The sequence below is a fragment of the Homo sapiens genome, chromosome 11 (assembly GCF_000001405.40).
Source record: "Homo sapiens chromosome 11, GRCh38.p14 Primary Assembly".
Taxonomy (NCBI): domain Eukaryota; kingdom Metazoa; phylum Chordata; class Mammalia; order Primates; family Hominidae; genus Homo; species Homo sapiens.
Window position 1 is genome coordinate 103,316,785 of NC_000011.10, and position 16,082 is coordinate 103,332,866.

The following is a 16,082-nucleotide window of genomic DNA, read 5'->3' on the forward strand; positions in this document are numbered from 1 at the left end:
CTTATATGGATCTGTTTTTACATGGATTCTTCTTTCTGGGAGCAGAAGTCTAGAAAGACCTTGTTTTCACTTTGTGGCTTTCAAAAGTTTCAGGCACTAACTGAATTTTTCAGATGTCTTTCAGGGGAACTGTTAAAATTCAGGAGTATAGCAGACTAAGATTAGTACCAAGGATCTGTGGAGTCATAATTGAATTACTAAGTAGGATTCAGGAAACAAGGTACAAATAATAGATTGAAACACAGCAGCAAATAAAGCCATTTAATCTGACCCCCTAAGGCCATCTAGCTATCAGCCTCCTTGAAAACAGGAACAGTCTAATCTCTAAAGTTTATTGTGCAGGGCGAAGGGAGGGGGACACTAGAGTTTAGACCAATGATGGATTAGAGAATAGAGTATGTTGATAGTAATCTCAAACTTAAAAATATCACAAACAAATCTCTCAATTCCTGTCTCCTCCCCACCCCCAACCCTGCAACCCTGCCAAATACTTTTTCCTGATTCTGCCTCCGTTTCAGTAGATGGCCCACCATTCCTGTATTAATAGTTGTTCAAGGCTAAAGCCTGTGAGTCACCTTGGATTCTTTTTTTTTTTCTCATCCTCAGACATCCAGTGCTTTGGCAATTTCTATCCTTTGCAAATCACATCATGATTCTATTCGCTTATTTTCCAATGTGTTGGCAGTCCAAGCAATAATTTCTTACCTGGTCTTCTTCCACTTTAGCACCCTTGCAAACATTCTTCATACCATAAACAACTTTAGTTTTTAGAAATGCAAACCAAAGCATATAATTTTCCTGTTTAAAACCTATATCCATATTTGGCATCTTTGTGTTCCTCAAACAAGCCAGACTTGTTCTTACTTGAAGGTTTTAATAGGTGTTCTTCCTTCGGTCTGAAATGCTTTCCTCCCAAACTTTCATATGGCCTTCTTCTTCCTATTGTTCACTTCTCAGCTTGGATGTATCCTCTTGAGAAGAGAATTGCTTCTGGAGATTGATTTCTTACTGCTGAATCTGAAGTAATCTAATCATTCTCTATCCCTTTGTATTGTCATATTGTCTTAATACATTAGTACTACCTCGATATCTTCTTGTTTATTCATTTATTTTCTTATTTTGTTTCTCTTCCCACTAGAGCATTATCTATTTTAAAGTAAGATCTTTGTCTCGTTAACTGTGTATATCCTTGAGGTTTATAACAGTGCCTAGCCCATCATAGTTACTCAATTATTATTTCAGTTAATAGCATCAGAAATTTTTTCTATAACTTGTCTTTGGCAAAAGGATAAGGATGGACAGCTAGGATGTGGCCAAGTCCCATTTTAATTTATATATTTTTAAAGTTTAAAAAAACCTATTTAATGAAGTATATGGACAAAAAGTACTTACAAGATTATGGCTCACTGAAATTTCCACAAACTGAATTCCCCCACGTAGCCAGCACCTTAATCAAGAAACAGAACATTATAAGTACCACTGAATCTACTCATGTAATGTTGCCTTTCAGCCTCTACCATCCCCTAACTTTATCTTCCCCTGTTCCTGAGGTAGACACCAGACACCTAACTATATAGATTACTTTTGCCTGTTTTTGTAAAACTGGAAACATACAGCATATATGCTCTAGTGTTTGGGTTCCTGTAGTTAACATTATATTTGATAGATTCAGCTATGTGTTTGCATTTAGTTGTAGTCCATTTATTCTCAATGCTATACAGTATACCTTTGTGTAATTATATGTATTTCTGTTGATGGACATGCTGGTAGTTTTGAGTTTGGGATGATTATGGGTAATGCTGCTATACCTTTAGGTGAATATATAGATATATTTCTGTTGAGTATATATGTAGGAGTAGAATTGCTAGGCCACAGGTTATGCATTTGTTCACCATTACTAGTTAATGCCAAATAGTATTCCAAGAGAATTTTCTGTTTGTTTAAAAGATTTTTTAAAATTCTACATCAGAAAAGTACACATAAATGTACAATTCAATAAATTTTCCATAAACTGAACCTATGTAACTTGCCCAAAATAAAAAATAAAATAAGAACAGCATTATCAGTATTTTAGAAGTGGCTTCTTCCTACTCCTTTCTACCTATGACCCAACATTCCCCACCTCATACATGGGTAACTACTTTCCTGCACTACGTGAACTGTTGTTTTTAATATTTGACACAGATTTTTTTTTTGGAGGATATAAACTAATACTTTTTTCAGCTTGCCTAAAAACTTGGTAATTTTCCAAAATGCTTTTGAATATTTATTTGACTTTTATAATACCACTATGAGGCTATTAGTGTTAGTGCCTTTTCACAAAAGAGAAAAGCAAAACAGAATTTGAATGATGTATCATTGTGTTTCACGTTTGTGATAGAATTAATTAATAGCATTGTAAGACATAGATATATAAATAGGTATCTTACACCATTATGTTTTGAATAAAAGGCAGATGCTCTAAAATGATATTGAATCTGAGTAAAAATCTGTTAAATCTTGATTACAGAATTTTCTGACATGAAGGAACTTCCACATGTATAGAATTAAATGCCAAAAAAGAGAAAAAGGTCTAACTCTTGGGAACAATTGGTATTGAGAGTAATAGCCATGCGACCTAGAGCAAGTTTCCTAATCTTTAAGCCTGAGTTTCCTGATCTTTAAATTAGGAATGATAGTAGACACTATCTCAGTTTATTCGAATATCCAGAAGTTTAAATTACAAAAGCTACATGAAGCATTTAACATTTAGTACATTTAATATGTGGAGTTAAGCTATCAGTAATTGTTGGCTGTTATTATTGCTATTGTTGTAATTTAAGTTCTATTCATTTTATTTTATCCTGAACAACATAAAATTTGTTTTGAGAAAAATAGGTAGAAAAAAATAAGATTTTCTTATAAAAATTCGATAAAATATTTCACATAATGGCTGCTGTTTCTGTTTTATAAGTTGAAAGATACACTAATATGTCTGTATTCCTTAATGACTTATCAATGACTGGCTAACTTATCAGTGACTGTCTAAATGATAAAGGTATCATTTAGTGAGTATCAGGACAACTAGAAATTTGAGTCCTGGTGAAGTCCTTTGTTTAGTCACTGTTGACTATAAGATGTAGGCAGATAACAACTTTATTCTTCCACTATATAGGTCCCCTTATCCTGCAGGAGGCAACCTAAATCCCTTATGTTCCAAGGCATGTAGATAATCAATTTTTGTCATATCTCTAAATTTTATAGTAATGAAATGGAACTATGCTAGTAATGCTAACAATAAAGTTTATTAGCTAGTTTAAATGTAGTTATGTGTCTCCTGTATTTACTGTGATCTGAGATTTAATTCTTACATTTTAACATTACCACAAAATTGTGATGACAAGGATATTTCTGTTGCAAAATGAAATAATATACAAGAAGTTCCTCCTGACCAACATGGTGAAATCCCGTCTCTACTAAAAATACAAAAATTAGCGGCGTGGTGGCATGCGCCTGTAATCCCAGCTACTCAGGAGGCTAAGGCAGGAGAATCGCTTGAACCTGGGAGGTGGACAAAGCAGTGAGCTGAGATCGCGTCATTGCACTCCAGCCTGGGTGACAGAGTGAGACACCGTCTCAAAAAAACAAAAAACAAAAACAAAAAGTTCCATTGTGGCTTTTTAATATTACATTTCTCTTCTATTAAAATAGAAAGTGGATAGTTGACTATGTAAAATCATGACGTTTAGAAGAGTGTAATGTGTGAAGGTGTTTCATAGAGTTTCCCTGTTAATCAGATTATTTTATAAACTGACAGTTTCATCAAATGTGTAAAATTATGTTTTGGATAGGTTCTCTTAAGGAATTTCCAATTTAAGTAGCCAGGATTGTGTGGCAGATAATTCAGATAATCTGACTGGATTCAGAGTACCTCATTTCTATTTCAGATCTTCGAGATTGTATAACTTTCTCATTTTGGTGCCTCAGCCTCCCTATCCCTTAGGAAGGTTTCTCCATATGTATAATTGTATAATATTAATACTTCTATCTTTGCTATAAGGATTAAGTGAATTTATACATGTAAAATATTTGGAAAATTTTACTTGATTAAAAAATCTCAAATATTTACTACTATTAATAGTCATTTGAATAAATGATTTAGTTGTATTAAATACATTTGGCTACATGTTATAAATATAACTCAAGGCAGGAATTTAGTTAATATTTTAGAAATGAAATTAATGAGTGTTTTTTTAAAATTATAGGTGCCAAAGATGTACAATGGGAATTTGTACATGGTTTACTTGAAAATGCTATTTATGGAGGACGTATAGACAACTATTTTGACCTTAGAGTTCTTCAGTCATACCTGAAGCAGTTTTTTAATTCTTCAGTTATTGATGTATTCAACCAAAGGAACAAGAAAAGCATTTTTCCATATTCCGTATCTCTACCACAATCCTGCAGCATTTTGGTAGGTAAAATGAATGATTTTCAATCTATTTCCAGGTAGATACGTGAATCATTTCTTACATTGTTAAATACATGTTACTTCTTTTCAAATGCACAAGTAATTATTCACAGTTTGGATTATTTGTTATGACAATATATGGCTTGATTCTTTCAACTTTAGTGAGGCATCCTAAAAACTTTTGAGTACTTACTGAAAGTTGGGTGGTTGATCATAATAATAGGCTGGTATATAGACAGATCTTGAAGGGAGTGGCCAAAGAAAATTCAAATAAGGTAGGACTGCTGTGAAAAGCTGAAGTGGGAGAATATGCACTTCATAGTAGGCATGAGTATACTCTCATATATTGAAAAATATGAAAGAAGACAAATATTATTTAATAAATATGTGTCTTCAGTTTCTGGCTTGTACACTTAAAGCTTGTCTAAATATGTAAAATGAATTTACTTTGTTTTTCACAGCAACATTTTGTGTATTTTTTTCAGCCAGCTGTAGCTTTTTGCCTTGAGCCGTCACATGAAAGCCTCCTAGAATGTACTCATCTTTTCCAGAAAATAGTAATAAGTATAGCCAAAAGATTTCAATTTTGATTTATTTTGCCATAAACCTATCTGTGTATAAGTGTGCAAATAATTCTTTATTAGAGTACTATAATTATACATTTCTTCATGAATTACAAAGGCATATATCTATTCAATTATGTAGTTCTCTCAGTTTTGTGCTGTTTCCTTTCATCCAAATTTTTTTCAAGAAAAATCCTTCATTTGGCACATAATTGTCAAAAAATAAAAGTTTAAAAATCACTATTAAATATATTACTCTTACTGACTATCTTACTTATTACCTTAAGTATGCTGTTTTGTTTCTAGTATCTTTAATTTACTCATTCATTCAATAATATGCATTGAACATCTGCTCAGTGATAGTGCTGTTCTAGGTATTGTGGATATAGTAATGCACCTGTGGAGTTTACCTTCTAGCAGAACCTTAGAGGGAATGAATAAATAGAGAATATCGCATAATTACTATACATTTAACTCAGATAGTGTACCCCAACAAGTTTTCCAACTCTATTGTTAGAAGCTTACATTGAAAAATACAATTCATACAGAAATGTATACATCCTAAGTGCACAATTCCATGAATTTTCATACATAGACCACATGAGTGTAGCCAGTTCTGGGGTCAAGAAACAGAGTATTATTAGCTTCCCAGAATTTCTCCTTATGTTCCCTTCTAGTTACTACCTCTCCCACAAAGGGTACATTATACTTAACTCTAACAGCCTAGTTTTCTTGTTTTTGTGCTGTTTATATAAATTATATCACGTGGTATATATATATTTTTATGTACAAGTAAGGGTAAATCAGTCTGAATATGTAACTGCCAGTTACTAGTCAGCATATCACTGTATAGTTCTAGATAGACAGAAGACTCTAGCCAGTCTAGACAAGATTTCATAGCTATTTTGAAATAAGCAAAGTGTATAACTCTACAAAGAGTAAATATTTTTAAATTTATAGGATGACTTATGACAATCACTGTTTAGCTTTCTAATTGAGTTAGATGAAAGACACTGAATGTTTCCCACGATAATACATGCACACATATATGCAAACATACACTCATGTACATGTACATATACATTTATACGTATATATTGTGATTGAATACCTTGAGGAAGTTTACAAATGCTAAGCTAAAGGATTGGAAGAATTTCAAAGAACAGCATGACTTTCCAAAATGTGACATATTTACAGGCCCCGGACTTCCTGGAGTCCAACTGTCTCCTTGGAAATACTTCAGGGTCAGCTGCCAAGGATAAGAACGGATGAGGGGAAGTCAGAGGCCAAGTCTCCCATGCCTACTTCAGCAAACACGGTTTAGATGCACGTGCAGTACTTGCCTTAAAATAACTTCTCTTCATGAAAACAAAACAGTTTCCATGTTTAGGCCAAACTGAATAAGTGTTTTTGCCTGCACTTAGTTTTTGATTTAAAGTCATGAGTGAGTAACTGTTGAAATGAATGCTCAACAAGCCAAGCTTATTCAATGTGTAGGGTAATTCTTAGGATGAAATGATAGGATTATCAATGCATTTTATCACACCTCACCAGCAAACTGAAGACTAACTGGAATTGCTCTATTATAAAGCAATTTACAAAGCAGTGCTTCTACACGTTTACAAGGTTTCTCTAAGTTAAAAAGAAACAAAAGTAGATTGCCTGAATATATAAATATATATATATATATATAACTGCTTAATTTAACATGAGCAGAACTGCACTCTGCAGATTGGTCTTTGGTAAGTTATAGGAAAAAAATTACAGAGCTATCCTAAAAACATCTAACATGGTAGCTTACATATAGTAGGCATAATCACTCAAATATGTTGTAAATAATTCGGAGTCCCTTTGTATGTGGGAGTTATGATAAGAAAATATAATATCAAATAATTGAAGTGTGAAGAAGTATTAATGACAGAATACTTCCCACAGATAACTGAGTTAATATCATACAAAGTGAGATTTATCTAGAAAATAAAAATACAAATAATAATTGAACATTTCAAAGTATTCTTTCTTATTTCAATGATTGTAAGTTCAATCTTTATTTTTTAAAAAAACTGTTTTTCACTTCTTTATATTTAGGACTATCGTGCTGTCATTGAGAAAATTCCAGAGGACGACAAACCTAGTTTCTTTGGTCTGCCTGCCAATATCGCTCGCTCATCTCAGCGCATGATCAGTTCTCAGGTAACCTAAAAAAAAGATCTACCTTCAAAAAAAGTTGCTAGTGAGCCTGAAGGAGACAAAATTAAACTTGATTTAGTACTGTAGACCCCACAAGCTTTATTTAAACATTTTATTTTCACAACACATTCCAGTTTTACTTTAAATATATTTTTTAAAATATTTGATTTTCTGATTTTTTTTCTTTTTAAACTTTTATTTTAGACTCAGGGGAAATGTGCAGATTTGTTACATAGGTAAATTGTGTGTCGTAAGGGTTTGGTGTACAGATTATTTTATCACGTAGGTAATAAGTATAGTGCCCAACAGGTAATTTTTCGATCCTCCCTCTCCTCTCACCCTCCACCCTCAAGTAGGCCCTGGTGTCTGTTGTTCCCTTCTTTGTATCCATGTATACTCAGTGTTTAGATCTCACCTATAAGTGAGAACGTGGTATTTGGTTATCTGTTCCTGTGTTAGTTTGCTTATGAAAATGATCTCCAGCTCCATCCATCCTTGCTGTGAAGGACATGGTCTTGCTCCAGCTCCTTCACTTCCTTGCTGCAAAGGACATGGTCTTGTTCTTTTCTTATGTTGCATATTCCATGTTGTCTATGTATCACATTTTCTTTATTCAGTCTACCATTGATGGCCATTTAGGTTGACTCCATATCTTTGCTATTGTGGGTAGTGCTGCAGTGAACATTCATGTGCATATGTCTTTATGGTAGAACCATTTATATTCCTTTGAGTATATACCCAATAATGGGATTTCTGGGTCAAATGGTAGTTCTGTTTTAAGTTCTTCGAGAAATCGCCAAACTATTTTCCACAATGGTTGATCTAATTTGCATTCCCACCAGTGGTGTGTAAGCATTCCCTTTTCTCTGCAACCTTGCCAGCACCTGTTATTTTTTGACTTTTTAATAATAGCCAGTCTGATGGGCATGAGATGGTATCTCATTGTGGTTTTGATTTGCATTTCTCTAATGATCACAATGTCAAATATTTTTTCATATGTTTATTGGCCGTATGTATGTCTTCTTTTGAGAAGCATCTCTTCATGTTTTTTGCCCACTTTTTAATGGGCTTGTTTGTTTTTTGCTTGTTAATTTCTTTAAGTTCCTTATAGATTCTGGACATTGGACCTTTGTTGAGTACTTAGTTTGCAAACATTTTCTCCTATTCTGTAGGTTGTCTGTTTACTCTGTTGATAGTCTCTTTTGCTCTGCAGAAGCTCTTTAGTTAGGTCTCATTTGACAATTTTTGTTTGGGTTGCAATTGCTGTTGGCATCTTTGTCATGAAATTTTTGGGCCAGGGCCAATGTTCAGAATTGTATTTCCTAGGTTGTCTCCCATGGTTTTTATAGTTTTAGCTTTTACATTTAAGTCTTTAATCCATCTTGAGTTGATTTTTGTATATGGTGGAAGGAGTGGGTCTAGTTTCCATCTTCTTCACATGGCTAGGTAGTTAACCCAGTACCATTTATTGAATAGGAAGTTCTTTCCCCACTGCTTGTTTTATGGACCTTGTCAAAGATCGTCAGATTGTTGTAGGTGTGTAGCTTTATTTCTAGGCCCTCTATTCTGTTCTGTTGGTTTATGTGTCTGTTTCCATAGTTCTCTTTGTGGAGATCTTTCACCTGTATACTGCTGTTAATACTTCTGATTGTATTATGAAATTCTTGTAGTGAATTTTTCCATTCCAGAAGTTCAGTTTGGTTCTTCCTTAAAATGCCTGTTTCATTTTTGAGCTCTTGGATTGATTTACTGGATACCTTGGATTCTTTGGATCGGATTTCAACTTTCTCCTGAATTTTGTTGAGCTTTTTTGCCACATTCTGCATTCTACGTCATTTCAGACATTTCAGTCTCATTAGGGACCGTTGCTGGTGGGCGGGGGATGGGCGTATAGTGGGCTCCTTTGAAGGTAAGGGGACACTGGCTTTTTGAATTGCCAGAGTTTTTTCTCTGATTCTCATCTGGTGGGGCTGGCGTTCCTTTAACTCTGATGCAAGTTGGGTGCACTCAGTTGGGTTTGGTTTGGGGCGCTTTCAGAGGGCCAAGGCTCTGTACAGTGTCTTTATTTGTGGGTGAATTCTTGCTCTTGGTTTCCGGCATCTATTAGCAGAATAATGTTTAGTGTTGTAGTTTGGGCTTCAGTCCAATAGATGGCGCTTAGGAGTAGTGGCTGGTAGATAGGCTCTTACTTAGCCCTGTGGTTTTTTTGTTATTTCCTTGTTTTCGCAGGCACGTTCTTGGGAGTAGAGGGAGGGGCGGGGAATAAAATCATCTCACCAGGGCCCCGTCCTTGGCTTTGAGTGAGCCTCTTCTGATCATTGGCTCCTTCCCCGGGTTTCTTTTGCTATGTGTTCGGGGTGGTTGGGCTCCCTCTGACAGGCTGCATCCGGGAGATAGGCCGGCCATACGCTTTCTGGGCCAGCCCTGTGGAGGGACGTACGAACCGCCTCTGTGCTGGCCCACAAACCTGCACGTCCCACCCCTCTCAGTGATCTGAGGGTGGGCGCTTCTCCCCAGCTCCAGTGTTGGCCGCAGATCTGGGCTCGGTACTCCTGAGCTGCAGACCGCATTCCGGGGACACTGGAACAGCCCTTGGCTTGGGGTCAGACTCTGGCAGCACTGGGGGATCTGAAGTGCCCCTAGGTTACTTGGAAAATACTCAGATAGTGCGGAGCACTCAGGCAGGGCTGTGGAGGCTGCGTTGTGCACACGATCCTGCGGGGTGGCTATGGAGGGGCTCGGCAGTGGGAAGGCCTGCAGAACAGATGTGCCCCAATCCTGTGGGGGAAGCCAGCCTGCTGTCTCTTGGCCTGGCAGTCAGCTGATGCTAGAGCCTCTAGGAGGGTGATGAGGACCCCTGGGGGAATGGGCACTTAGGGCCTTACTCTACTACAGCTGTCCTGCACACAAAAGCTCCTGAGCTCCACAGCAGCTGAAGCACTGTTTCTGCCTAGTCTCCAGGCAGATCCTCCACCAGCTCACACATCCATGGTGGATGCGGGGTCCGCTGAGCTAGGATTCCATAGGTCCAAGGTGAGGGTGAGATGTCCCTCAGTCTCCTCACTCATCACTTCCTCAGGAGTTGCTTGGGGCCGGGAACAGCCCCGAGCATTATGTTAAGGCACACAGGGTTCCAGCTTCCTCCCGCTTCACCCTGAGCATCAGCGTCACTTCTCCATCCACTCTCGGTAGTGTTTTCTTCCCCAAGATCTGCCCAAATTTTGTTGGATTACTTGATAATTTGGTATCTCTCAGTGGGAATGGTTCTTCCTGGCTGCATCTAGTTAGCCATCTTGTTCCAGCCCTCTCTATTTTAATGTTTAAACTCAAGTTCTACCCAAATACATACGTGTGTGTGTGTATAATACATATATTTGAATATTCACATAAAATTTTACAATACTTAAGCAAATAAGGTTAATATAATTAAAAGGTTATTAAAAGAATAAAAAGTTATTTCATAGGCTCCAAAAAAGGATTTGCTTTGGGAACCTTATCAATAGAAGTTCAAAACCTTCTCTTGAAAGTTCTATTATTAACAGAACATGGCTTCTGCAACTGCTAGTCTCAGTATCATTCAGGTTCTAGGGGAATCTGATTTAGCATAGTTTGGATCAATTATCTAATGAAGGTAATAGGGTAAGATAGAGCAGATACAGCCTTAGAGACTTAGAGATACAGGAGAAGAAATACAGAATGTTCAGCATCTTCATCTTACAGGGAGGCCAAGCAAAGCAGCTACCTATATACAGAACTTATTTTGCTCCTGGGCCATTGACAAGAGCCAAGGATGTGGGGGTCATCTTGGTACTGCGAAGCTGTAGCCTTAGTTTCCCACCAATCTTCTATTTCATGTTAGCTACAAAAGTCCAGTGCTTGTATACCAACACACAGCTCCCCAGGCTAAGTGGAGTCCCAAGGAACAGGGGTTTCATGACAAACTAGGCAGATAAAACATTCCACCCTTATCTTAACTACGTAGTTTCTAAGGAAATAGTACTATGAGAAGATAGACGCCCATGTTGTTTACCCAGATTGTCCTGATTCAACCCAGACTTCATTTTACTTTTTACTCACTCGAATATAGCAAAAAATTATCCCAAATTTATCGTAATATGATCTAATTTCTACTAGTTTGTCTTGCCTTAGTATTCCAATTTTTATGAATACTTTTGGGATGAAACGAAGATAAAATTCTTCCTAAGGTTTTTTGGTTAACACTTATTTTCTTATTTGTATTTTAACTGTCAGTCTGTTTCACTGCTTATTTACTTGAGTACTTATTTTTTAATTACCATTTTTTACTTAAAAGGGTTTCACAGTGCTTCAATCATTTTAACGTTTTATTTTTCAAATTATAAAGATGTATATGCAACTGAACTAATAGAATTTATATATTTAGAGATTTTTTTCATTCCAAGCCACATTTAAACACCCTTATTTGAAAGTAAATATTCAGATACTACAAAGTTTGATTTGACACCATGCCTGTCAATGTACTTAACAAAAAGTAGATTAGAAAACATTATTTATCATGCACAAATTCAGGGATATAAGAACTGATATTGCATCAGGTATTTGATGATTTGGGCTTTTAAGGACAGGCTAATGCCAAAGTTGTATAACCAATTTTGTACAAATATGAAGGCCAAAAATGAGTACATACATTCAAGGCAATGACCACAAGTTGTATCTATCTACTGCAAATTGTTGATTATACTTATGTACAGATGCTGTGTGTCAGTAGTTAGCAGTTTTTTTGTTTTTGTAACCTGCTGCAGTATACACACCACATGGCATTCTCAACCACATCAGCTAATACACTCTTTTCCTCAACTTTTCCACTGTTATAATTACCGTAGGGATGTTACATTAACCAAAATGTGAAAGTCAAAAGCAAGAGACTTTGGGTTTTGTTTTTGATGGTGAGGAGGGGGAGAGATAAATTTGATATGTTAGTTCGAATTGCCCATGCAATAATGTTTATTTGAGTTGCCATAAAATATCTATTTGGAAATGTCTAGTAGGAACATAGACTAAATAAACGTAGGACAGACTTCAGATGTAGATATGATAAAAAAGATTTGACAAAAAAGAAGTACATCTGTGACAGAGGAAGCTGTGAGAATTAGAGATTGATTGCTAGGAAGGATGAAACAGAAAAGAAAGATGCCTGAAGGTAGTATCCTGGGAAATATCTATGATTAACACATACTTGAAGATGGGAAAATCTTTGAAAGAATTTTAGCAAGAGTGATCTGCATTCAGAAAACAAGACAAGCAGAAGAGCTTTAAAAGAGAGTCTTCAGGTGATGGGAGGGAGTGATGCTGGTTGTTCAGGGAGTGGAAGAGGAGGGCTAAGTTATAAGGAATTGGGCATTATTCAGTATTTCAAAATCTTTTCTAGAATCATCTCTGTAGAATGTTGGAGGATAGAAATCTAATTGCAGTAGTTTGGGAGGGAAAGTGGGTGAAAAAGTGATGCAAATGAATATAGGTGATTAATTTAGGAAGTTTGACACTGACCAGAACCTCTGTCTCTGCCAATAAAAGTTAAAGGCAAAATGTAAGTAATCTAATGTGAATACAAGATTCAGGGAGAAATTGTTATTACTGATGTTAGAAGAAACTGAAGCATGTTTTTTTCTGTACTCTCTTACAGGATTCTGAGTTATTCAAGGGTAGAGCATGTATTTTTCTTCTCCTTTTCTTTTTTTTGTTGTGGGGTGGTGTGCCAGTACCTGTTTGCTGATGGTACCCTTAGTGTCCTTGGTACTTTCTATTAATGAATATTGCTTTTGTTTTAAAGATGTATTTTACATTTAAAGCAACTATAAATATTGTTTGAGTTGATTGAAAAAATATCTTAAAATATTTTTGCTATTAGCGTTTTTGGCTATAGGTATTTCAGTATTTCTTTATATCTTTTCTAGAATTACTCTTGCCACTGCTTTTGCTTATTTAAATTCTTCGTTCAATACCCAGTCCAAAGCTTATCCTCTCCTGAAGTATTTGTATTGATCCTCTGGTATTTTTTACTTTTATTTATCTCAGCTATCCAACATTATTTGCCTCTAATATAATATTAGAATAGGTTTTGGAATGTAAAGGTGAATAAAAATAGTCCCTGTTTTGAAGGAATTCAGTTTAGTGGGGAGAGAAATGTGTAGAAAAAGTCCCACTGCCACGTAAGTGGTAAAATAGAAACATGTATTCTACTAAGTTTGTATCTTGTGAATTTATATCTGAATAAATATATGTACTTTTCATTTCATTGCTGAAGAAAAACTTTTTGCATGAATTAGATCATTTGTGTTATGTTTGTACGAATTTGTGCAATCAAGACAGTTTGAGTAAATGAGAAACACTTTAAAATTAAGCTAAATTAAGTTCTTCTGAAGAAATCTTTAAAGCAGAAATTATACTTCTCTTATAACTTCAGACTTAGTAATGTTTGAAATTTTGCTTCTTTTAAATTAAAAACGTAATTGTAGTTTCTACAGCTTTTTGTTTGGTTAAAACAGACTTTTGTTTCAGAAAATGAAAACTAAACAATAAATTTTTTAAATAACTAAAGCTCTAACCTATTTTCATTAATATATATCTTTATTTACCCAGATAGGACAATATCTTCTATGTGTTATGTATATTAACTTTTGTCTCCCCAAATAAATAAAACAGTTAAAATAGCACTTAGTAAATAGTAGGTCCCTTTATGACAACGCTATTCTCTTCATCTCCTTCATGTCCCTCCTCCTCTTGTACTGAAACTGGCCGGTCACAGTACTTTTATCTTTCTAATTAAGCAGCATGTGGCACCAGCAGAGTCAGACACTGAGACAAAAACTATACATCTTTCACTGGATTTCATACATTGGAATATTAGTAGTCTTTACTTGCTGGTGATCATACTTGGAGTGGAAGAAGGAAGGCAGTTGTAGTCAATAATAAGTAAACCTCAATGATTTAGAGAGCTTGAAAGAGCATTGTTTCTACTCTTTTGACAATAGAAGCCAGACTAACTGCAAATTTATAACTTTCTTTGAACCTCTCAGAGATGAAATTGCAGGGCAAAAATATGAAATCTAAGGAGATGCAGTTGCCTAAAAAGAAGTGACACAACACAAACATTTGCTTACCTGGGGCATATGGCATACCTAGGCACTGTTAAGAATTCAGCTAGAATTCTTAATAGTTAATAAATAGTTAAAAAATAAATTCTTAATAGTTAATACATTGGTCAAGGCCAAGTGTAGGCTGCTAGCCTGTGAGGGCAACTGATATAGGTGTTCTTACCCCCTTACAGGCTTTTTCTCCATGGCTCTTACCTGATGAGAGTACTCAGGAGCTTTTTTTGTACCAGAAACCTTGGGGAGAGAAACACAGCTATTTTGTGGGGAGGGGTCCATAAAACTCTGCCCCTACCCTAAGTAAAAGGAATCTGTAGACCCCTGCTTTATATAAAAGTTATCTTCAGAGGAATTTGAAACCTGCACTGCAAAAATCACCCTCAAATCCAGCCCAACTCCTCATTTAACACAAATCCCTAAAGGCCTATCAGAAAGAAAGTTATATGCATTTGTAAGCTTTAAAACTTCCTTAGTCTTTACTGCTCTGGACAAAATGTTCAGCTTTCAAGAAAACATTACAAAGTATATGAAAATGCAAGAAAAGGTACCACTCCAAGAGACAGAACAATCCAGAGAACCAGAATAAGATAAGACACAGATGTTGGAACTACCTAACAGAAAATTTAAAATAGTTACAATTTTTATGTTAAAAGTTCTGATGAGGCCAGGCGCAGTGGCTCACGCCCGTAATCCCAGCACTTTGGGAGGCTGAGGTGGGCAGATCACGAGGTCAGGAGATGGAGACCATCCTGGCTAACACGGTGAAAGCCGGCTCTACTAAAAATACAAAAAATTAGCCAGGCGTGGTGGCACGTGCCTGTAGTCACAGCTACTCAGGAAGGTAAGGCAGGAGAATTGCTTGAACCCGGGAGGCGGAGCTTGCAGTGAGCCGAGATCGTGCCACTGCACTCCAGCCTTCCAGCCTGGGTGACAAAGCGAGACTCCATCTCAAAAAAAAAAAAAAGTTCCGATGAAAAAGCATAATATGCAAGATTAGATGTTTAATTTTAGCAGAGATATGGAAACTATAAGAATTAATAAAATGAAAGTGCTAGAAATAAAAAGCAAAGTAACAGAGATGAAGACTGTCTTCAACAAGTTTATAGACTTGATATAACCAAGGAAAGAATCAGTGAAATTGAAGATAGAGCAATAGAAGTTACCCAAACTGAAACATAAGGAGAAAAAAACTGGGAAAAAAAAAAAAAAAAAATAGAACAAAGCATCCAGGAATTGGGAGACAAAATCAAACCATCTAACCATTGTATAATTAGTACTCACAAATCCACAAAGCTTAAAGGACACCATGCTGGATAAATTTCCACCACCTCACCCTCTCTTAAAAAACAAACACACACAGGCATAAAATATTAAAACTGAAAAAGACTGAAATACTGACCCTAGCAGCGGGGTAGAGAAAGTATTGTGGGGGAAACACACACCACATACAAGAAACAAATATTAGAGCAGCTTTTTCCTCAGAAGCCATTCAAGTCAGAAGATAATGGAATCGTGGTAACTTTAAAGTGCCACATGAAAAAACTGGAAACCACAAATTCTAACTCAGCAAAATATCTTTCAAAATGAAGTCAAGTCTTTCTCGGCTGGGCACAGTGGCTCACGCCTGCTATTCCAGCACTTTGGGAGGGCAAGGCGGGCAGATCACTTGAGGTCAGGAGTTCGAGATCCCCCTGGCCAACATGGTGAAACCCTGTTTCTACCAAAAATATAAAAAATTAGCCAGGTGTG

The 16,082-nt window shown here is 36.1% G+C and overlaps 1 protein-coding gene across 5 annotated transcripts in view; it reads left to right on the forward strand.

Annotated features, from left to right (window-relative positions):
- DYNC2H1 (dynein cytoplasmic 2 heavy chain 1) overlaps window positions 1-16,082 on the forward strand; it is a 370,438-nt gene that overhangs the window by 207,359 nt on the left and 146,997 nt on the right. For all 5 annotated transcript variants that reach the window (NM_001080463.2, NM_001377.3, XM_017018291.2 and 2 more), the window contains 2 exons: window positions 4,245-4,453; window positions 7,102-7,206. In NM_001080463.2, coding sequence (NP_001073932.1) covers window positions 4,245-4,453; window positions 7,102-7,206 — 314 coding nt within the window. The remainder of the gene's footprint in view (window positions 1-4,244; window positions 4,454-7,101; window positions 7,207-16,082) is intronic.